Source organism: Homo sapiens, chromosome 1 (genome assembly GCF_000001405.40).
Source record: "Homo sapiens chromosome 1, GRCh38.p14 Primary Assembly".
In the NCBI taxonomy this organism is placed as follows: domain Eukaryota; kingdom Metazoa; phylum Chordata; class Mammalia; order Primates; family Hominidae; genus Homo; species Homo sapiens.
The window spans coordinates 6,126,050-6,148,415 of NC_000001.11; the positions used below are offsets into that span (position 1 = coordinate 6,126,050).

The following is a 22,366-nucleotide window of genomic DNA, read 5'->3' on the forward strand; positions in this document are numbered from 1 at the left end:
ATGTGTACCCACACATTACACATACTGTGTGCAAGGGACGTGCCCAAGGCCACGTCACGAGCAGTGGTGAAGTCACTGAACTGAGCCACACCTTGTTCCCCCAAACACCCAGCACCTCTGCACCTGCCCCCAGTCCCCTTTCCTCCAAAAAGCTGCCTCCCAGCTCCAACCAGCGCCGCCCAGCGTTCCTGGCCCCCACCTCCCGGGGGGGTCCTGCACAGGGATGCCCCAACAGAATCCTGCCCCACCCTCCACCTCTGGGTATGGGACACCCATCCCTCCTGGCACACTCGCCCAGCTCTCCCGGCCCGCACCTCCCGGGGGTTCTGCACAGGGATGCCCTGACAGAATCCTGCCCCACCCTCCGCCTCTGGGTATGGGACACCCATCCCTCCTGGCACACTCGCCCAGCTCTCCCGGCCCGCACCTCCCGGGGGTTCTGCACAGGGATGCCCTGACAGAATCCTGCCCCACCCTCCGCCTCTGGGTGAGGGGCACCAGTCCCTCCCTCCCGGCACGCACCCTGGTCCTCCTGGGAGGCATCGTTGTAGTTGACCTGCTTGCGGATGCGCTTGCCCTTGCCCAGGTTGCGGGCCAGGTCCTCCTGCTGCTGCTCATAGTGGTGCCGCAGCAGCTTCTCCCAGTAGTCGGGGTCCACGTTCTCCTCCTGCTTGATGATTTCCCGCTCCACCTCCTCCTGGGGACGCAGCACCACGGGTTCCATGGGTGGAGCCATCTCTGCCCTCCCGGAAGCCTCAGGCTGCCTCCACCTGACCTGCCCTTTGCCCCCTCAGGGCTCAAGGATTAATGGGATGGCCTGCCTACTCCAGGAAGCCTTCTCTGATCACCCCGGCCCTAGCTAGCTTTTCTCTCCCTGCCCCTATCCAGTCAATCATTTACTTATTCATCCATCCATTCACAAAGCAAGTATTTCCTCGCCTCCTGTCAAGCACTGAGGTACTGAGTTGAATAAGCTCCCCCTTGCCTGCCCTCAGGAGGCTCCTGGTTTCAAAGGAAAAGGTCATGGGCTCACCAGGTCTGCACGGAGGGTGGGGAGCAGAGGAGGAAACGGAAAGGCCTCCAGGAGAGACCCACAAGGAGCTCTTCGGGGACAGCTGGGGTTTGCCCGGTAGAGAAGGGAGAAAAGTGTGGGGTGGACCAGGCGTGGTGGCTCATTCCTTAACCCCAGAACTTTGGGAGGCCGAAGCAGGTAGATCACCTGAGGTCAGGAGTTCAAAACCAGCCTGGCCAACATGGCAAAGTCCCATCTCTACTAAAAATACAAAGATTAGACAGGCGTGGTGGTGCATGCCAGTAATCCCAGCTACTTGGGAGCTGAGGCACGAGAATCACTTAAACCTGGGAGGCGTTGGTTGCAGTGAGCTGATACTGCGCCACTGCACTCCAGCCGGGGCGACAGAGCGAGACTCCATTTCAAGAAAAAAAAAAAAAGAAAATTGTGGGCCGTCCTGGAACGTTGGCGGTCCAGGTGCAGGGCCGAGATGCAGGCCCTGAGGAAGGGGCGGGAGGGTGCAGCTGGGTAGGGACTGAAACCAGACCCCGGGGACAGGGCTCTGTGCAACGGGGTGGCAGATCAGCTTGCACTTCAGAGAGTGGGGAAGCTGGACTGGAGCCGGGATGACGCCACGGAGCAGGCGGCTGATGTGTGCAAGGGCAGTGGCCGGCCCATGTGGCTGTACTGCCCTCAGCGCTGCCTCCGTCCCTTCCCTCACTGTTGTGTCTCTAGTCCTGAGCCCGCGGGTGGAGCGACAGGGCCGCCCTGCAGAGGCCGGAGCACGTGGTTGGAGGGCGGAGCACACGCTGGAGTGCGGGGCACAGCAGGGAGGGCGGGGCTGCGGCTGGAGGGCGGGGTCACAGCTTGGAGGGCTGGCTGCGGCGGGAGGGCGGGGTCACAGTGGAAGGCGTGGACACAGTGGGGGGCGGGGCTGCGGATGGAGGGCGGGGCTGCGGATGGAGGGCGGGCCGGGGACCTTACCACGCCGTCCTCCTCGCGCACCACGTACTGCGCCACCTTGAAGGAGCTCAGGTACTCGTTCATGTTCTGTAGCTCCGTGTCATCTGTAGCGTCCTGGTTCCGGTCCAGCAGCTTGGAGATGGCCGCATCGTCATAGTGGATCACACTGCTGTCCTCCACGTCCTTGTTGTCACCTGGGGAGCAGGCAAATGCAGTGTGAGGACAAAGACTGCCCTGGTCCAGCCCCGGGGTCCCAGGAACAGACTCCCAACAATGGCCCTTCCCATCCCCAGCAGGGGCTGCAGCTGAGAGGCATGGTGACCAGACAGAGGAAACTGCGCTGTAACAGCCCCACTCGCCGCCCACCTGGCAGTCCCAGGACGCCCAAGTGAGGGCAGGTCAGGGAACCCCTCCTCTGCAGGAGCAGCCACCTGGTCGGAGGAGGAGCTGAGGCTGGGCTGGGTTGGCCCCTACCTGGCGGGGTGCTACCGTGCTTCTTCTTTGCACTGGCGGCCAAGTTCCCCCCTTTGGAGGACTGGACATCAGGGATGGGTGTGACCGGCCTCTGGCCCTGAGACATCATGCCTGTCAGACAGAGAAGGAAAGCACTGGTGCAGGACCACAGAGGGCTGCAGGGTTGGCGGGCAGTGCCCAGAGACACCACCCTGGGCTGTCCTAGCCAGGAGATACAGGTGGGGGGTGCAGAAGAGAGGCTGTGTGTTGGAGCGGGCAGGGACCCAAGCAAGCCCTGGATGGGTGTCTCAGCCGGGCCACCCCAGTCCCCTGCCACGCTCCCTCGGAACAGAGGCCCACCCTCCACGTCGTCCTTGAAGAGTTCCTCCGTGCCGAACTTGAGGATGTCGTCCAGCTCCTGCTTGGTCATGGACCCCGACTTGGAGCCGAGGCCGGGCCGCACCACCAGGTGGGTGAGCATCATCTTGCGCTTGGCCACCTGCGTGATGCGCTCCTCCACCGAGGCCCGAGTCACGAAGCGGTAGATCATCACCTTCTTGTTCTGGCCGATGCGGTGGGCGCGGCTGAAGGCCTGGGGAGACCTGCACCTCAGCACCCGTGGCTCACCCAGGGCTCCAGGCAATGGAGGAGATCACACCCATGAGCTCAAGAGCATGGAATGGGCTGCATGACTGTGTAGGGAAAGGCGTGTGGTGCGTCCAGGTGTGTGGAGCCCACCACTGCAGCTGGGCTCCCTCCCTGACTGCGGAGCCTCCCACAAGCCTGGGTGCCAGGCTGGGTTTGGAGTGGAAAAGCTTCTAGCCATTGGAAGCAGGCAGGACTGCAGGTGTGCAAGAGTGTGTGAGGGATGATACGGCCAGTGTGCTGGGTGTAACTGAAGCCACACAGAGCTTCGTGGGGGCCACGGGGAGGTAGGAGGCTGCATTTCCCTGTGAGCGAACCACTAATGGGACCACAAGACCATGTGCTGGAGACACGCAGCCACCTTCTGAGGGCAGCAAGGAGCTGAATCTGCCCAGTATAATACAAGGAAGTGCCTGAGACTCTGTGCAGCCCTACATGAGGTGACCTGGGTGTGGCCGTGTATATCTGTGTATGTGCATGGGCGCACACACATGTGAATGAGACATCAATTTGTATGTGTTCCCCTACATTTGTAAGCATTCAATGTGTGTGTCCCAGCGCCCGAGAGGGGTGGCCAGGTACACTAGGGTGGCTCTATTCCCATACCCCTCCCCCCACAGCCCTTCCATCCTTCCTTACAGCCCCATCTGCCCCTTGCACTATCTTATCCTCCCCTCCACCTCCAACAGGCCCCACTCTCTGCTCCCCACCCCCTTCAAAATGGGTGCCCCTCTGGGTCCCAGGGCTCCCTCTTCCTGCCTCCCTCCACGGCCTTGGTCCTGAGGATGATGGGAAAGACCAGATCAGTGGCCACTAGGAACTGCTGTGCGCCCTGGGACACTTCCCCTGCCCTCTCCAAGCCTGCTTCCTCCTCTGGACAAGGACAGAGCTGGAGGGATGGGGGCCAAGCTTCCACTCACTCCCAGAGCCCCTCTTGGGGCCGAGACTCCACGGGGGAGGGAGGCCCACAGCACCAGGATAGGTGAGGGGGTGATGGCAAGAAGGGCATGAAGGACAGAACCTGCCTGAGGCCCGGGATGAGAGGCCCCCTGGGAGGGTGGTGGGCGGCAGCAGCACAGACCTGGATGTCATTGTGCGGGTTCCAGTCCGAGTCGTAGATGATGACAGTGTCCGCCGTGGCCAGGTTGATGCCCAGACCACCTGCCCGGGTTGAGAGGAGGAAGCAGAACTGCTGGGCCCCGGGGGCTGAAAAAGAGAGGCCAGCAGATGGGAGTGTTTGGGGGGGTACACCTTGGGTGGGCAGAAAGGATGGGGGAGAGAACAGAGAGAAGGAACTGCAGCAACAGATCCCTGGCAGAGAAGGACAAAGCCGGAGACCCCATCAGAGACGGGTGGCCACAGCTGCACTCAGGGGAGCCAGAGGAGGCCTGCCCAAGCCCACTTAGCCCCCAGCGAGCTCTGAGCCCTAGTGCAGTGGGAGGGCACTGGAACGAGGAGGTCAATTTTCAAACCCCAGATGAGCAAAAAACAAAGTGCAAGCCGCCAGCAAGTACAAGCAGAGCCCTAGAGAGCTCAGAGTCCTTCATGTCCCCGCAGCTTCCCACCCCTGGCTTCCCTTAGCCCACCGATGCTGCCAGGGCAGCCCGGGAAAACTCAGGGGCGCAGCTCCGGGACCTGGGGTCCCACCCCACTGGGCAACCCTGTCACAGGATGGCTGGTTCTCAGCCTCTCAGGGCCCTTCAGTGACCTGGGACTGACCACAGCCCCCACTGGAGCTGCAAACAGGCCCCTGGCACACCCAGGGCTTCAGCCACTCCTGCTTCCACATGTGGCTGGGCCACGTCTAGACCCTGAAACTCTGAACTTGCTATTCCTCCTGGCTCTCTGGCACAAGTGTTTGAGAGGAATCACTGCTTTGGGCGTTTGGAGAGCGTGGCCCCAGCCCCTAAGGGCTGACGCCCCAGGGAAACAAAGCTTGTTACTATTTGCTGCAAACTTGCTACTGAAGCTTACAGCCGACTGCTTCCCACTCCAGAAGTTTCTTTTGCTACAGGAGGAACTCCACCGGCAAGACCCTCCTGACCTCCACCCTCGCCTCTCCTTCCCAGGCAGGGAAGACCAAGCATGGGTGACTCTGGGGAAAGAGCCTGATCATGTGTGGCCCAGCCCTTTCACTCTCTCCTGCCTCTGGAAGTGGCCCCAGGTAGCACGTGCATCTCTGTACCTTCTGCCACCATTCACCATACGGCAGGCTCTGTCCAACACCACTTGTAACTGGGGCTCACCTGGCGTCAATATTAGAGGCCCCGTCTGCGTTTCTCATTGTCTAACTCCATTCCCAACAGGTGTTATCTACTGGGCCCCTCAGAACTCCGATTCCATGGGAGGAATCCTTTTAACATTGGAAACTCGGACTGGCCTGCTGTCTTTAGCTGTTTGTGAGGCTGCTCAACACAACACCAGCTGGGTGACCTGGCTAAGAACCAGGCCTGGGAGAAGAGGCCAAAAAGGAGTCTCAATCAGAACCCTTGGGCAGGATGGGGGTACCATTGAATCTGTCGATTGCCTCCTGCCGGAGGCCCCCGGTGATGCCACCATCAATCCGCTCATACTTGTAGCCTTCGTACTCCAGGAAGTCCTCCAGGAGGTCCAGCATCTTGGTCATCTGCAGGGGAGACGGGCACGTGAGGAACTGCCAAGGAGCAAGGGGCCCCATGGGCCATGGGCGGGGACCCCGCCACAGGCAGGGGAGGAGAGAGCTGCCTGCTAGGTGGGGAGACAGCTGGGACCCAGGCAGGCCCAATGCAGGACTCTGGGGAAGAACAAAGCTTCCAACCTCACCCCTTGGAGCCAATCCATCCTCCTGCCTAGCCCCACAGCCACTTACCTAAATCAGGGCTCTGACATGAGCCTCCCCTGCTCCCACCACACAGAATTAAGTTCCATCTCACTGCCCTGTATTCAAGGCGCTGCAGGACGAGTGCTCCTTCACAGCCCCCAGCCATTCCAAACTACCTGACTCTCTTCCTGGAATGCCCACCCCCTTACTGCCTAGGGAACATAAACATCACCTCTGTGATGTCTTCCCTGATTTCACTCCTCCCCATAAGAAAAGAAAGGCAGTCCCTTCTGAGCTCCCATGACCCCGTATAATTCCCTTTATTCTCGAGAGAGAGTTTAGCTGGATATAAAACTATCAGCACACATTTTCCCTCAGTGCACCGGAGATTTTGCCATGGTCTCTGCCACCTGTTGTTGTTAAGAAGTCTGAGAACGATCTGGCTGCCCTTATTTTGTAGGTACTAGGTCTAAAGTACCTAGAGGTTCTAACGTGTCTACGGGTTCATTTATTTATATTTATCTTGCTTGCTATTCCAGAATGCACTCCAGATCTGAGACCTCACATTTCTCTCCAGGTCTGCAAACTCTCAACAAATCCAACTTCTTCACCATTTTTTCTGTTTCTTCTGCAACTCCAATTGGATGATTGTTGGAGCATCTCAAGGTGTCTTCCATGTTCTCCCTGTTTTATCTTTGTCTCTGTACATTGCATTCTGGGAAAATGCCTCAGCACCAGGTTCCAATTTATCAATGTTCTCTTCAACAGTGTTCAGAGTCTGTCCAGTCTGTTGAAATGTTTTATCTCAATTTCATGCATGTTTCTATCCAATTGTTCCTATTTCAGTTCTTCCTGCTTTTGCTTAATTTCTTCTTTATTTTAGGGTGTCAATTACTCCATCATTTTTGAGGATCCTAAACACATCTATGTAAAGTCTTTTCAGGCTATCCTATTCTTTTCTCTCTCTCTCTCTCTCTCTCTCTCTCTCAAGAGACAGGGTCTTGCTCTGTCACTCAGACTGGAGTGAAGTGACAAGATCACAGCTCACTGCAACCCTGAACTCCTGGGCTCAAGCAATCCTCCTGCCTCAACCTCCCAAGTCGCTGAGATTACAGGGTGAGCCACTGCGCCCAGCCCCTATTTTCTTATTTGGATTCTATTTATTGTTTTGGGGGATGTCTCAGCATTCACTTTTGTATGGGTTTGGAATTGGGGTTCATAGGCTCATTTTGGGCAGGAGGGCCCCGTCTCTGTCGCTTGCCCTGTGTGCACATTTCTGGAAGCTGTGTGGTTCCCATTACTTGGTATCTCAAGGCCTCTGATCAGACTTGCGTCTCGTGTTGGTACCGAGGTACTGGGGGGATGTGGGTCCATCTCCACTCCAGCCCACTCCTTGGCTCAGCCCCTGGTCTCAAACTTGCCCTGCTTTCCAGTATTCTTCGGGCTGAAGCAGCCCAGCAGGGTGACCTGGGGCTGCAGGCGGCGGACGCTGCTTTCAGTTGATGTTTGTGCACAAGGAGCCATAGCCCAGACTCTGGGTTTGAGCAAGGGGCCTGGCTCAGTGGGCCCACGAGAGGAGCATTTTTAGCCCCATGACCCTGTAGGATCATCACTGTGGCCTCCAACACAGAGCTGACCACAGGGTCGGGTACCTGTCCCTTGAGCTGTCTCCCACAGTAGACTGAGCAGCTTGAGGACAGGGACTAGATCACTGGTCCCTGCACCCATGTGCCAGCACAGAGCCTGACTATGACAGACGCAAACAAAGGGATGGAGGAAGAAATGAACACACCTGAGCCGGCGGCCCTGCCTCCAAGCCAAAAAGCCAGGTGCCAGTGGCCCCTCAGGGCCTATTGGAGAGAGGGGCTCCTCCCAACCACACCCCAGGGCCCTACCTTAATGAGAAGCCAGGCTGCGGGGGAGAGGGCCAGGGCAGGGGAGGAGGGGCTGTCCTACCAGCCTGGACATGCAGACCAGAAGGGCAGGTGTGGGGAGATGTTGCTCTTTATGGCAAATGTGTTCTGAGCTCCTCAGCCGCATTATGCCAGGGCACGGGGGAGTGACCCCTGACACACAGTCACATGACCCACATGGGAACGGCACTGGGCCCTGAGGGGTGCCAGCAAGTTTGCGCCCCCAAGCATCAGGGCAGGATGCTCTCTGTGGGGTGTGGAGCCGGGGCGGGGGTGGGCAGGGGCAGCGCACCTGGGAGAAGATGAGCACACGGTGCCCCTCATCCCGCAGTTTCTTCAGCATCTTCTGTAGCAGCATGAGCTTCCCTGAAGACTTGACCAGGGAGCTTCCATCGTAGGAGCCATTGGGCAAGACAGGGGCCTCCTGCAGACACAGCAGGAGGTGGGGCATTGGTGGGCTCCCCTCTCCTCTCTGACTCTGCACCAAAGGGGCCGCAGGGAACAGACAAGTGCTGAGCAATGGGGTGATGGCCTGTCTGCCCACTGAACATGAGACCCACACCCGAGCCAGGCCAGGCCCCACAGTGCGGGGTAGACCGTGGGTCCCACGGCCCTGGCTCCAGGCCCCCCGTTCCCAGGCAGGGCTCACAGCCGCACCAGCCCTACCACAGCAGCGGGTTCCACGGTAAGTTCCCCAGCACCTACCAGAGTGGCCACAGGCAACCTTCCATGATGGCCAGGGAAACCTACCATGACAGCCACAGAAATCGCCACAATGGCCAGGAGAACCTATCACAGCGGCCACAGGGACCTACCATGGCGGCCACAGGCACCTACCATGGCGGTCATGGAGAAGCTGCCATGATGGCCGGGGAAACCTACCACGGCAGCCACAGGGAAGAGGTAGGGGTGGTTGCAGCACTTTTTCAGGTCCATCATGATGTTGAGCAGCGATACTTGGTTCCCGCCCCCCTTGGAGTTCAGTGCCTCAAAGTTCCGTGTGAGGATGAACTTGTAGTACTTCCTGCAGCAGGGCACGAGGAAAGGCAGGCTGGGTCAGACCCGCCTCCATGAGGGCTCTCTCTGCTCTGCAGTGGGGCTGGAAGCTGGTGGCCAAGCACCCATTTACAGAGAGACCCAAGGGACCCCCAAGAGGTGAAGCCACCGGCCTGGAGTCCCCCTGCAAGTGACTGGGGGACACTGCCAGCACTCAAGCGACCCAAACTCTGGTCACTAAAACCTGAGAAGAGGCCCCACGAAGAAAGTGTATGCAAAGCATTAGCCGAGACCTCAGTGAGGCTGAAGAGCCCTCCGCCCACCTGGGAATCGACCCAGGAGACCAGCCCAGGGGAAAGGGCGAGCACAGGCTGCTCCGGGGTCAGCCCATCACTCACTTCTGCATCTGGCTCAGCTCCACCCGGACAATGAGCTCGGTCTTGGCCGGCATGTTCTTGAACACGTCAGCCTTGAGCCGCCTGAGCATGTGCGGCCCCAGCAGGTCATGCAGCTTCTTGATCTGGTCTTCCTTGGAGATGTCAGCAAACTCCTCCAGGAAGCCCTCCAGGTTGCTGCAACAAAAAGCTGGGATAACAGCCAGGAGCAGAGGACCGGGGCAGGGGAGGCAGGGTGCAGAGCGCCTAGCCCATGTAGGCCGGCTAGCTGGTGAACCAGGGAGCCCTGGCATTGCCCTGGATATCGTCTCAATTTCTGTCTAAGCCTGTGTCACCTCCACACATCACAGCCCTCTTTTCCTCAGCCACACTGGACACCTTTCCATCCTCAAAACCGTCCTGGACAGGAGCTCTCTATTACCCAGATAACAGATGAGGAAACTGACTCTGATGAGTGCCCGAGTTGATACAGTCCAGCTGTGCCAAAACCGGCCCTCAAATCTACATCTCCTGGTGGCTCATGCCTGTAATCCCAACACTTTGGGAGGCCGAGACGGGCAGATCACCCGTCGGGAGTTCAAGACCAGCCTGGCCAATATGATGAAACCCCAACTCTACTAAAGATATACAAAAATTAGCCGGGCGTGGTGACACATGCCTGTAATCCCAGCTACTCAGGAGGCTGAGGCAGGAGAATCACTTGAACCCAGGAGGCGGAGGTTGCAGTGAACTGAGATCAAGCCACTGCACTCTGGCCTGGGTGACAGAGTGAGACTCTTTCTTTTAATAAAAAAAAACAACAAAAAAAAAAAACACTGCATCTCCTGATTCCAAAATCGACACTGTGCACCCTGAACCCCCCATTCTGAGCAGGCAAGTGGAGGTAGGTGAAGATGAGGGGGATGGGGCGGTGGGCTCCGGCCACCGGGGAGCTTGCCTCTGCCTCCACCACGGTTGCCTATGTGAGTCACTTGGGTCTCAGTGGAGGGAAAGGAACCTGCCAGGGGAGGCAGTCCAGGAGGAACCCCGGGTGGTCTAGGGCAGAGCTAAGGAAAAGTCGTGGTATTAGCAGCAGTTGATATTTACCAAACATTCCCATGTGCCCACGCCACCCACCCCAACACCCTGCTCCTGCAGGAGGTCAAAGCGGGGACATTGCTAATGCTCCCATTTTACTGATGAGGAAGCAACGGCCGAGCAGGTCTCACAGCCAGGATGGGCTATTGATCCGTCTTCACTGGGGCCACCCAGCCCCACCACCACCTCCCTAGCCAGATCCAGGTGACTCACTTGAACCTCTCTGGAGTCAGGAAGTTGAGGAGATGGAACAGCTCCTCCAGGTTGTTCTGAAGGGGGGTCCCTGTCAGCAGCAGCTTGTAATCAATCTTGTAGCTGTTTAAGACCCTAAAAAACTGAGGGGAGGAGAGTGGGGCCTGTCAGGGGGCTCTGGGCGGCCCCTCGCCCCGGGAAGCTCTGGGGTCTGGCGGCCAGCGCCACCTACCTTGGACTGGTTGTTCTTGAGGCGGTGGGCCTCATCTACCACCAGGCAGGCCCACTCGATGGAGCCCAGGATGGCCTGGTCAATGGTGATGAGCTCATAGGAGGTGAGCAGCACGTGGAATTTGATCTGCACTTCTTTCTGGAGAAAAGAGGGGCATTGGGGATGAGACGGCTGGGAGCAGAGCGGATCACAGTCCCAGGAGACAAAGAGCCAAGAAGGAGGTGTGCACAGGAACCCACAAAGGCTCCACGGAGCCCTGGGCCGGCCAGCCTAGGACCAGAGGGGCAGATGCTGACCACCAAGCAGAGGGGCATCCACTGAGGCTCAGAACACAGCCCTGAGAGAGGGTGGTGTGGAGGAGGAGAAGAAACGGCCTCGGCTTGTAACAGCTCCAGTGAGACAGTGTCTTACTCCCACCCCCCAGCGTGGAGTACAGTGGCACGATCACCACTCACTTGCAGCCTCCACCTCCCAGGCTCAAGCAATCCTCCCATCTCAGCCTCCCGAGTAGCTGGGACTACAGGCATGCCTTACCACACCCAGCTAATTTTTGTATTTTTGTAGAGACAGGGTTTCACCATGTTGCTGAAGCTGGTCTCAAACTTCTGAACTCAAGTGAACCGCCCACCTCGACCTCCCATAGTGTTGGGATTACAGGCGTGAGCCACCACGACCAGCCCTGGCTCTGGGCTTATTACTTTGTTTCCACTCTCACCTCATCCTAACAAAACATACAAGCTCAATTGTGTCCTTTATCCCCCACTCCCCCCAGGGTTATGTTTGTCTTTTGGAGAGAGATCTCTCTATGTTAACTAGGCTGGCTTCAAACTCCCGGCCTCAAGCAATCCTCCTGCCTCAGTCTCCCAATGTACTGGGAATACAGGCGTGAGCTACCGCACCTGGCCTTTTATCCCCATTTAAAGCTCAGGGGGCCTCAGGCTGGAGCACTCTCCCAGGTACCCATAGCTAACAAATGGCATAGCCAGGATATGAACAGAGAAAGGGACCCTGCACTTGGGGTTTAATGCCCTGAGGTTGCTGATGTGAAATTATTAATCATTTTGTTGTTTATTGTTGAATTTGTGTTTTGTAACAAATATCCCAGGGGACAATGGAGTGTGTGCTGGGGGCGTGGAGCCTCCCTGGGACAGGTTCTCATTCCCTGCTCCCCTGCCCCTGCCTGGTGACCACTGTCCCCCTACTCCCCCTGGTGGGGGCCTGGACCTGGGTGCTGGTTGGGGAGGGGGAGCCAGGCACCCGGTCTATGCACCAAGTTCCAGGACAGGGCCTGGTGCCTGTGAGGGTCTGCACTCTCCCGGTGAGGATCCCCACACCTGAAGGAACACGACTTTAAAAAGCAAATTTAGGCCAGGCACAGTGGCTCCCGCCTATAATCCCTGCACTTTGGGAGGCTAAGGTGGAAGGATCACTTGAGGCTAGGAGTTGGAGACCAGCCTGGCCAACATAGCCAAACCCCATCTCTACTAAAAAATACAAAAATCAGCCAGGCGTGTTGGTGGACATCTGTAGTCCCAGCTACTCAGGAGGCTGAGGCGGGAGAATCACTTGAACCCAAAAGGCAGAGGTTGCAGTGAGCCGAGATCACACCATTGCACTCCAGCCTGGGTGACAGAGTGAGTCTCTGTCTCCAAAAAAAAAAAAGCAAGCAAATTTAAAACACCTTGGCATGTTGACAGAGACCACAGAAGAAAGGAAAAAGCTGTTTTCCTGCGAGCCCTGCATTTTCATTTTGCACCGGTCTCCCCCAGTGATGTAGGCCTGTCCTGTGCTGCACCAAGCCTGCCTCTCCCAGCAGCCCACATGCCTGTGAGAGAGCAGAGAGGGCCGAGGATGCCGTGCAGCATAGGCTTTGCCTGCACGTGGCACCTGGGTTTGCACACAATCTTTTAGCCGAGCATCGGTCTCCTCGCCTATCTAGGTGAAGAATGCTATGAGATCTCAAAGAGCTAAGTCTGTTTCTCAAAAAATCAGAAATAGAATTACCATATGATCCGGCAGTTCCACTTCTGGGTGTATACCCAAAAGACAGGAAAGCAGGGACACAAAGGGATATGTGCACACCCATAATCCTTCCCATCAGCGTTACTGACGACCACTAAAAGCCAGAAGCAGCCCAAGTGCTCAACAACAGATGAACAGATAAACAAAATGTGGTCTATCCCTGTGATGGGGGTTCTCCAGCCTTGGAAGGAAATTCTGACCCGTGCCACAACATGCATGAACCTCAAGGACATTCTGCTCAGTGAAATGAGCCAGTGACAAAAAGATAGATGTTTCCCGATTCTACTCATATGAAGTACCCAGAGTAGTCAACCTCGTGGAGACAGACAGTAGATGGGTGGCTGCCAGGGGCTCGAGGTGGTGGGGATGTTCATGTTTAATGGGGACAGTTTCCACTTTGCAAGATGAAAAGAGTTCTGCAGACTGGTTGCATACCAATGTGAATGTACTTAACACTACTAAACTGTTCTGTTGTTGTTTTGTTGTTGTTGTTGTTGTTGTTTTGGTTTTTCTGAGACAGAGTTTAGCTCTTGTTGCCCAGGCTGGAGTGCAATGGTGCTCACTGCAGCCTCCGCCTCCCAGGTTCAAGCGATTCTCCTGCCTCAGCCTCCTGAATAGCTGGGATTACAGGCACCCACCACCACGCCTGGCTAATTTTTGTATTTTTAGCAGAGATAGGGTTTCACCGTGTTGGCCAGGCTGGTCTCAAACTCCTGACTTCAGGTGACCCACCCGCCTCGGCCTCCCAAAGTGCTGGGATCACAGGGGTGAGCCACCGTGCCCGGCTGATTTTTTTTTTTTTTTTAAAGAGACAGAGTCTCATTATGTTGCCCAGGCAAGAGTACAACAGCTATTCACAGACACAATCATGGCGCACTACAGCCTCGAACTCCTGGGCTCAGGCAATCCTCCTGCCTCAGCCTCCCAAGTAGCTAGGACTACAGGTGCACACCACTGTGCCCAGCTGAACTGTACTTTTAAAAACGGTTAAGATGGTAAGTTTTACATTATGTGTATTTTACCACAACTCTTAACAATAAAATAGAAGAGCCAAATCAGCAAAGTGCTTGGCACACGGCAGGGTCCCAGTGTGGCTCAGGGGAGGTTCTTTTGCGTCTGATGATCCAGGGGCTCATCCATCTACAAAGTCACCTGTGGGATCATCGATTCATTCACTCATTCAACAGTTTCCGAGCATCTCTAAGAGCCACAGCTGCTAGGAGGCAGTGGAGGAGGCCGACCTGAGGGACTCGGAGGGCCTGTGCGAGGATCCACCAGCCCCCAAGGCTGTAGCACTGACATCTTCTAGGGGCCAATGGCTACAAGTCCTCATTCCTCAATGTGGAGAGGGTTTAGAAATGCAGAGGCTCAGGCCAGGTGCGGTGGCTCAAGCCTGTAATCCCAGCACCTTAAGAGGCCGAGGTGGGCGGATCATGAGGTCAAGAGATCGAGACCATCCTGGCCAACATGTGAAACCCAGTCTCTGCTAAACATACAAAAAGCGGCTGAGTGTGGTAGCACGCGCCTGTAGTCCCAGCTACTTGGGAGGCTGAGGCAGGAGAATCGCTTGAACCTGGGAGGCAGAGGTTGCAGTGAGCCCAGATCGCACCACTGCACTCCAGCCTGGCGACAGAGTGAGACTCCATCTCAAAAAAAAAAAAGAAAAGAAAAAGAAAAAGAAATGCAGAGGCTCGGGCCCCACCCCAGCACTGCTGGGTCAGAGACTGTGCTTTAACAAGACCTTGCAGGGTTCACAGCACCATGAGACCTCATGCTTATTAACTCACTTGACTCTGTGGGGTGTGTCTGTTAACTCCATTTTGCTGAGAAAACACTGAGACCCAGTGAGGCCACGTGACTTGCCAGAAGTCACACAGCTGGTGCACTGCATTGAATAGTGTCCCCCCAACATTCATGTCCACCCAGAAGCTCTTTTGGAAATAGGGTCTTTGCAGACATAATTAGTTGTCTGGGCATGGTGGCTCAATGCCTATAATCCCCATGCTTTGGGAGGCTGAGGCAGGAGGATCACTTGAGCCCAGAAGTACAAGACCAGCCTGAGCAACATACGGAGAATCCATCTCTACAAAAAATTTAGAACTTAGCTGAGTGTGGTGGTGTGTACCTGTAGTCCCAGCTCCCGGGAGGTCAAGGCTGCAGTGAGCTATGATCAATCACTGCACTCTAGCCTGGGTGACAGAGCGAGACCCTGTCTCAAAATAATAATAATAATAATAATAATAATAATAATAGGCTGAGCGTGGTGGCTCACACCTGGAATCCCAACACTTTGGGAGGCCAAGGCAGGCAGATCGCCTGAACTTAGGAGTTCGAGACCAGCCTGGGCAACATGGTAAAACCCTGTCTCTACCAAAATACAAAAAATTCGCTGGGCATTGCGGCATGTGCCTGTAATCCCGGCGACTCTGGAGGCTGAGGCATGGGAATTGCTTGAACCGGGAGGCAGAGGTTGCAGTGAGCTGAGATCGTGCCATACTGCACTCCAGCCTGGGCGACAGAGTGAGACTCCGTCTCAAAAAAATAATAATAATAATTAATAATAATAATAATAATAATTAGTTGGGGCCAGGCACAGTGGCTCACTCCTGCAATCCCAGCACTTTGGGAGGCTGAGAAGGGCAGATCACTTGAGGTCACAAGCTCAAGACCAGCCTGGCCAACATGGTGAAACCTGTCTCTACCAAAAAATACAAAATTAGCCGGCCATGATGGCGCACTCCTGGAGTCCCAGCTACTCACGAGGCTGAGGTGGGAGAACCACTTGAGCCCAGGACGGGGAGGTTGCAGTGAGTCGAGATCGCCCCACTGCACTCCAGCCTGGGCGATACAGTGTCTCAAAAAAATAAATAAATAAATAAATAAAATAAGTAGCTAAGATGAGATCATACTGGATTAGGGTAGGCCCTACATCCAGTATGAATGATGTGTTTATAGGATGAGAAACAGACACAAACGGGAAAACCCCATGTGCTAACAGAGGCAGAAACTGACGCGACAGCTGTAGGCCAGTGAACCCCTGCCGCCACCAGGAGGCTGGAAGGAGGAAGGAAGGGTTCTCCCCTAGGGCTTTCAGAGGCACGTGGCCCTGCCCTCACCTTGATTTCCAACCTCCAGCCTCCAGAACTGTGACCGAATACATTTCTGCTGTTTGAAGCCACTCCATTTGTGACACTTTGTTACAGGAGCCCCAGAAAACTGACATGGCTGTAACTCAGCCTCTAGGACAAGCCCCTCAGAGCCTGCCGGCCTCGGTAGCCCTCCCAGGCTGAGGGACCCCAAAGGAGTGCACGGCACCCGTGGTCCCTGAACTAGACCGGGGGCCTTCCTACCGTCCTTCCAAGGATAGCGAGCCCTCACCTTCATACGGAATACCTTCTTCCCACTCCGAATGGCGTTGTCCTCAAAGGAAAACTCGTTCTCCCGAATCACCGAGCGGCTCTCCTTGTCCCCCGTGTAGGTGACCACGTAGAAGTCGGGCGCCCACATCTCAAACTCGCGTTCCCAGTTGATGATGGTGGAGAGGGGCGCGCTAACCAGGTAGGGCCCTTTGGAGTGGCCCTGGAGAGAGAGGCCGATGCCGTGAGACCACCTGCCCTTGGCCAGGACCAGCCACCCCTCCTGGCCGCCTGCCCCGCCTGCCCACCTCCTTGTAGAGGGAGTAAAGGAACACGATGGTCTGCACCGTCTTGCCCAGACCCATCTCATCGGCCAGGATGGTGTCAGTGCCCTGGGCCCAAGAGAAGCGCAGCCAGTTGAGGCCCTCCAGCTGGTACGGGTGCAGTGTGCCGCCTGTGGAGTCGATGTACCATGGCTGCTTGTCGAACTTGACCGTGGGCTGCAGGGGAGGCAGCGGTTCAGACACGCCCCAGATCCTGGGCCACCAGAGTCCACACTACAGGCCTTTGCACATGCAATTCCTTCTGCCTGGAACACTCTTCCCACTCCTGTCTGTCTTCCTAACTCTTCTCCAGTTCTTGGATGGAACACCTCTTCCTCTAGGAAGCCCTCCCTGACTCCCAGCCTGGCTGAAGTGCTCCCACAGTGTCCTCCCATGGCAGCCCTGTACTTCTCCTATCAGGGAAATTTCCCGACTGTTGAATTCTCTGACTCTGAGCCCAGGTTGTCATCACCACCTTGGTCCTGTTCACTGCCTCCTCTTGAGTACCACACAGTGCCTGGGACATGTGGTCACTTACTCACCATTTTTTGGATGAACAACAAAACGAACATCCATCTGGGGCATTCGCAACGCCCCCAGTAACAGGCTCCTCCACTGGATCCAGACATTTACTTTTTTTTTTTTTGAGACAGAGTCTTTGTTGCCCAGGCTGGAGTGCAGTGGCACAATCATGGCTCACTGCAGCCTCAATTTCCTGGGCTCAAGGGATTCTCCTACCTCAGCCTCCCTAGTAGCTGGGACCACAGGCACACCACCGTGCCTGGCTAATTTTTTGTAGAGGTGGGATCTCACTACGTTGCCTCAAACTTCTGGGTTCAAGCGGTCCTCCCACCCCGGCCTCCCACAGTGCTGGGATTACAGGCATGAGCCACCATGCCCGGCCCATTTGTCTCTTGATCCTGCTCCAGGTCACTGGCCCCATGCAGTCCTCCCAATGGACCAGGCCCATCTGCCTTTCCCCAGCATCTGACAGGCGCCTGATAGTCCCAGGCCAGGCCCTCCGTGTTCTGTGGATACCCACCAAGGGCCCCTAGAAGACAGTGTGTCTTCTGAAACAGCTACCCAGGGCTCACTGGCCCTCGTCTCCTCAGGGCCAACCCAGGGCCAGGCGCTAGTGGACACCCAGGGAGCTCTGCTGAGTGAGTCATCCTGGGTCTCCTCCCAGGTGAGAGTGGTGTGTAAGTAGCATGTCAGCTGCAGTGTTATGAGGGGCCTTCCAGCTGTCCTAGCCTACATGGGCATGACACTGTCTGCATAAGCCATGAGGGCCCAAGGAAACATCCTTTTGAGAACACACACCCCCTGCACATTCAAGTCTGAGGTGGGCAGGCCCTGGCAACCCCACCCACTGCTGCCCCACCCTCCCCACTCACGTCCACAATGGGCGTGTCCGGCGGCTTCTCCTGCTTGTCGTCCCTCAGCTTCTTGCCCTTCTTGAGCAGCCTCTTGGGCAGCCTGGTGTCTTCTCCCAGCATCAGCTCCCTGGGAAACGGCATTGGAGGCAGGTGAGCAAGGCTCAGCCCAGGAGCAGGTCCCGGCAGCCTGTGCCTAGCAGCCGGATCCCTGCGACCCACCTGTGGCCCCAGTAGGCCTGCTTGAGGTTGTCGTAGTAGGGGATGTCGATGTCATCGATCTCCCAGGTGCACTGGTCGTAGGGCAGGTCTTTCCACTTGATCAGGTAGTGCACATCCCCCTTCTTGTCAAAGCTGCAACACGGTGAACAGATGTGGGTCGCTCAGAGCAGTGGCCACAGCACAGGTTTGATGAAGGGCACCTCCCAGGATGCAGAGCCATTCACACCCAGGGTCCCCTCGGATGCTGGGCCCAGCCAGGAGGAGGAGACGAGGGCAGAAGCTCCAGGGAGGTGCAGCGGCTTGCCTGGGGCCACACAGCGAATGAGAGGGGGATGTGGCAGAGCTGGAGAGGGACACGGAGGCCAGCTAACAGAGGAGCAATGAGCCAGCCTCCCACATCCTTTGCAGCCTCTGTGGCAGGGATGAATCCCATTTGTCACAGGGTCTGGATTTTCACAGGAGTTCTGGATTTCTAAGTTGGAAAGTTCTCCTTCCTGCCAATGGACTCAGTTTTCTAACTTAAAATACGCAAAGGACTTGTGCAGTGCCCACGTAGGGTGAGGAGTCATCTCTGCAAAGTAGATAAGGATGCAATTCCTGCGTGTGAGGTGGTCTCTTCTGGGGACACAAAGACCCAGTGACCAAGCCCAGCAGCACACAGCTTGATTCTGGCCACTGGGAGGGTCTTTAGGGCCTCCCACCCACCCAGGCTAAGGCAACCAGGCCAGAGGAGTGCTGGAGGGCCGGGCTGGGGCTTGACTACCCCACACAGCAGTGCCGAGGAGGCACACAGACCCGGTGAGCAGCGGCTGCTGCGGGCCTGGGAACATTAAGAGAAAAACCGATCCCGTTACCACGGCAACCGATGTTTGTTTGTTTTCCCATACATAATTGATTGTTTTGCAGATTGGGGGAACAAATCTGGGGGAGATTCACCTGCCCCACTTTGGGGCAGAGAGAAAAACTACCATGTATATTTTTAGCATGTAATTTAGTAAAGGTAGAAAACCATGGGCCAATTCATTGCCGGGCTCAGGTTCCCACAGGAACTGACCCTTGAAGGTCATTCTCAGGGAGGCCTGGGGAGGAAAAGGGGGGTGTCCCATAGTTGAAGGGGGGCAGTTTTTCAAATTCCGCGACCCTCGTACTGAAGACCACCCACAGCCAGCCTCTGGCAAGCTCCTGTCACCCGTGCAGCAGCCTGTTCCCTAAAAGGGCCTCAAAGCTCAGCAGATGGGAACCGGGATTGAAATCTGAACATCTGGCTCAGGCTTTTAACCTCTGCTCTACCCAACAGCTGCCTGAAGCCAGAAGCACTGAGTGTCAGAGGCCACCGATCCTAAGCCCCTCAAAAACAGAGGCCACAGGGTAGCTGGGATGGGGAGCACAAGCTCCAAGCTGCCACCAGGCAGCAGGTACTCTGGGCCCCACCCCAAGGCCCATCTGTCAGCCACCACCAGTTCTCAAGCACCTCAACTCAAGAATCAGCAGGCATTCCCACCACCCACCAAATCAAAACCAAAGCCCACGGGCCTCCTGCCTCTGGCTCTTTGTGCCAGCCTCCTGCAGCCTCTGATTGCTAAGGCATCCCAGGGAACTGCCAGACTGCTCCAGGAAGAGCTGCTGCTGGGGCACTGGGGGGTGCAACAGTAGCTAAGAAAGCAGGTCCTGCAGTCAGAAAGCATGGGGTTCAAATCCCAGCTCCACCCCGTGGCTGTGTGATTCTGGCGACTTAACCTTGCTGTGCCTATTCTCACATCAGTAAAACAGAGGTGAAAGTAAGACGCCTCCCTCCCAGGGTAGGCAGTGCTCAGTACAGCCAGCTGCTGTTACAAACGCGGGGGAAATGTGGACATACTCCCACACCTCGGGCGTCCCTCGTCCTCAGAACCCTCTTGCTGGTATCAAGCACTAACCCAGCATGAGGGTCCCGACGCCCCAGGGGTGTGAACACGTATGCATGAGTGTGCCGGCATGCATGGGACGGCCCCTCTAGCAGGTCAGGCAGATCTCCAGCACTGGGAACCCTGGGCCCTTCCTTGTGCCCCTGCTGTGCCCACATGTGGTTCTGCACGGCAGCCCCAAAGCAAGGGCCCTGGCACCCTGCGCTGCACCCATTTTACAGGGCAAAGAAGCTGACGTGGCCCGGCCCCAGCGATGGGCAGGGTGGCCGCCTGCAGGCACACACCTATGGTTCAGGATTCGGTGAATCATCATCCACTCTGGCTTGATGCCATAGCGGTAGAAGCGCTCCTCCATCTTGGCATAGAGGGGGTCCTTGTTCTTCCTCTTCTCGCTCTTGCCGTCTTCATCCCCAGAGCCGTAGTCAAAGGGGGGCGGCTCATCCATGTCGTTCTTTCTTTGGTAGTTGCGATACATCACCGTGTGGTACAGCTCCAGCTGCTCATGGAGCGGCACAAAGTCACAGAAGGGAGATGGGCCATGGTCCCCTGCATCTCCCTACCCAGCTCCTCTAGCCCCAGCCCAGGTCCCAGGCAGGACAATCCTCCCGCTCAGCACCACCCCAACTCCCAACAGCACCCCTCAGTCAGAGGCGCTTCAGCCCCTTCCCGCCAGCCCAGGAGGGTCCAGGGCTCACCAGGTCCCGGGCCTTAGCACAGCCACCCTCCCGGGCACTCACCTGTAGCTCCTTCACCCAGGAGCAATGCCAGTAGGACAGCCCTGCCCACTTGACAAAGAACTCTCTCTCAGGGATGCCCTCCAGGGGCTTAGGTGGAGGGAGGCTGGGCTCCACGTCAGGCCCCGGCAGCCCCACCATGAAGGGGGCAGGGGGCTCCGTCCACCTCCAGTGTAGAATCCGCTGGACTTTGCCCTTCAGTGGGGGGCACTGTGGACAGAGAAGGGTCCCCAAGGTGGGGCTCAGCTGCAGGGCCCCACCCTGAGGCTCCCATGACAGCAGGCTGCCATGCAGGCTCCCTCCCATCAGTGCCACTGCCCCCAAGTCAGAACAGTACCACGGTGACGCCATGACATCCACCCCGTCCCCAGGAGCCGCATGGGTCATGCACACAGGAGATGGGCAGTGGGGGTCTGTGAGACCACGTGGCCCTTTCACTCAATGGTGAACTTATCGGCACCCAGAATATCTGAGCCAGCGTAGGTGAGACTGCCATGTGCATAGGACAGAGGGGGAAACTGAGGCCCACTCGGCAAGGGACAGCAGAGCAGGGAGCAGAACATGAGATTCTGGACTTCCCCTACCTTAGGTCTTCCCATTGCCCCCTGAAAAGAGGTCACATCACTGTGTGATCCCCAAGCACTCAGGGAGCATGAGCCCTGTGCTGGAGCCCAGGGACACGGCAGCCCCATCCACCATCCCTCACCCGGGGCAGGGCTGCACCCAGGCACCGTGCGTCTAGGCTGGGACAATGAGGCCCCATCTCTGGCAGCCCACAGACACACTGCAGGGGCCCTGACAGATGCTAGGGTGACAGTGAGCTGCTGGCTGGCAAAGGCAAGAAATACAACAGCCACAAACCACACCACTCGGGCCCTGAGATGGGTGGGAGCAGCCTTGGCCCTCCAAGGAGGCGGTGCTGTCTGACTGGACAGGGTCGGGGGTGACTGATTCAGGGAGACAGCTCTGGTGGGGATAGCAGGTCCCAGCTTTGCTACTACCTGTCCTCGGAAACTCATCCAAGCCTCCAGAGCCTGCTTTCCCATCTGTAAAATGGCCCACCCCTTCCTCCACCTACCAGATCTGTGGTGCCACATCACACCTGAAGGCATTCTGGAGGTGCAAGGTACACCACACAGCCAGCCTTCCTTTGGCCTTGGTGACAGCAAAGGCCGAGAGGCAGAGGAGGAGGAGGAGGACATGGGAGGCAGGAAAGGCTCCTCCACTGGCTCTTGGGGGAGTGGAAGAGGGGACCCTTCCTACCCAGGCCATGGACCCTCCTACCCCCATCCCAGCCCCTCAGGGAAGAAGCTGAGAGGAACCCCACTCCTGCCCCCCTCCCATCCCCAGGGCCTTCCATCAATCCTAGGAAAGCACAGAAGGCTGCACCCCTCAAAAGGGTCCTCCCCTGGCCCCTACACAGACACAGACAAGTATGCGCACGGATGCACGCACACACATACACACGCACAATGCACACAGGACGGCCCAGGGCTAAAGGAGGCACAGCCCAGGACCTGAGGGGTGGAGGATCTGGCACCACAGGGGGCAGGACAGACAGCTCAGAGCAAGGGGCCTTCCGATGTCTACTGTGACTGGGGGGTGACGGATGGGGGGTGCCCCTCTTCCTGTAGAAACTGAGGCTCCCGCCCTAGGAGCCTCCTGCCCTAGAAGCCTCCTGCCCTCTCCCTATCCCCAGCCTTGGAACAGGAGCCAGGTCTGGGGTGGCTCCAGGAACCTGAATTTGAGTGGAT

General features: G+C 57.0%; 1 protein-coding gene across 1 annotated transcript in view, besides 5 other annotated features; it reads right to left on the reverse strand.

Annotated features, from left to right (window-relative positions):
• CHD5 (chromodomain helicase DNA binding protein 5) overlaps positions 1–22,366 on the reverse strand; it is a 78,535-nt gene that overhangs the window by 24,263 nt on the left and 31,906 nt on the right. The window contains exons 10-26 of the mRNA NM_015557.3: positions 20,616–20,822; positions 20,163–20,374; positions 17,975–18,106; positions 17,774–17,882; positions 16,365–16,556; positions 16,079–16,279; positions 10,679–10,816; positions 10,468–10,589; positions 9,181–9,354; positions 8,669–8,810; positions 8,079–8,210; positions 5,582–5,699; positions 4,155–4,279; positions 2,789–3,020; positions 2,450–2,560; positions 1,997–2,169; positions 523–697 (exon numbers count right to left, since the gene is read on the reverse strand). Of these exons, the coding sequence (NP_056372.1) occupies positions 523–697; positions 1,997–2,169; positions 2,450–2,560; positions 2,789–3,020; positions 4,155–4,279; positions 5,582–5,699; positions 8,079–8,210; positions 8,669–8,810; positions 9,181–9,354; positions 10,468–10,589; positions 10,679–10,816; positions 16,079–16,279; positions 16,365–16,556; positions 17,774–17,882; positions 17,975–18,106; positions 20,163–20,374; positions 20,616–20,822 (2,695 nt within the window). The remainder of the gene's footprint in view (positions 1–522; positions 698–1,996; positions 2,170–2,449; positions 2,561–2,788; positions 3,021–4,154; positions 4,280–5,581; positions 5,700–8,078; positions 8,211–8,668; positions 8,811–9,180; positions 9,355–10,467; positions 10,590–10,678; positions 10,817–16,078; positions 16,280–16,364; positions 16,557–17,773; positions 17,883–17,974; positions 18,107–20,162; positions 20,375–20,615; positions 20,823–22,366) is intronic.
• Positions 120–1,007: an enhancer, noted in NCBI's record as "H3K4me1 hESC enhancer chr1:6186229-6187116 (GRCh37/hg19 assembly coordinates)". NCBI's record gives its function as "activates a minimal SCP1, AML or CMV promoter by ChIP-STARR-seq in primed H9 embryonic stem cells {active_cell/tissue: H9 hESC(primed)}" and the evidence as "EXISTENCE:reporter gene assay evidence [ECO:0000049][PMID:30033119]".
• Positions 1,008–1,897: an enhancer, noted in NCBI's record as "H3K4me1 hESC enhancer chr1:6187117-6188006 (GRCh37/hg19 assembly coordinates)". NCBI's record gives its function as "activates a minimal SCP1, AML or CMV promoter by ChIP-STARR-seq in primed H9 embryonic stem cells {active_cell/tissue: H9 hESC(primed)}" and the evidence as "EXISTENCE:reporter gene assay evidence [ECO:0000049][PMID:30033119]".
• Positions 1,008–1,954: a biological region, named in NCBI's record as "Sharpr-MPRA regulatory region 11871".
• Positions 1,660–1,954: an enhancer, noted in NCBI's record as "tiled region #11871; K562 Activating DNase matched - State 1:Tss". NCBI's record gives its function as "activates a minimal TATA promoter and a strong SV40 promoter by Sharpr-MPRA in K562 cells {active_cell/tissue: K562}" and the evidence as "EXISTENCE:reporter gene assay evidence [ECO:0000049][PMID:27701403]".
• Positions 1,660–1,954: a silencer, noted in NCBI's record as "tiled region #11871; HepG2 Repressive DNase unmatched - State 10:DNaseD". NCBI's record gives its function as "represses a minimal TATA promoter and a strong SV40 promoter by Sharpr-MPRA in HepG2 cells {active_cell/tissue: HepG2}" and the evidence as "EXISTENCE:reporter gene assay evidence [ECO:0000049][PMID:27701403]".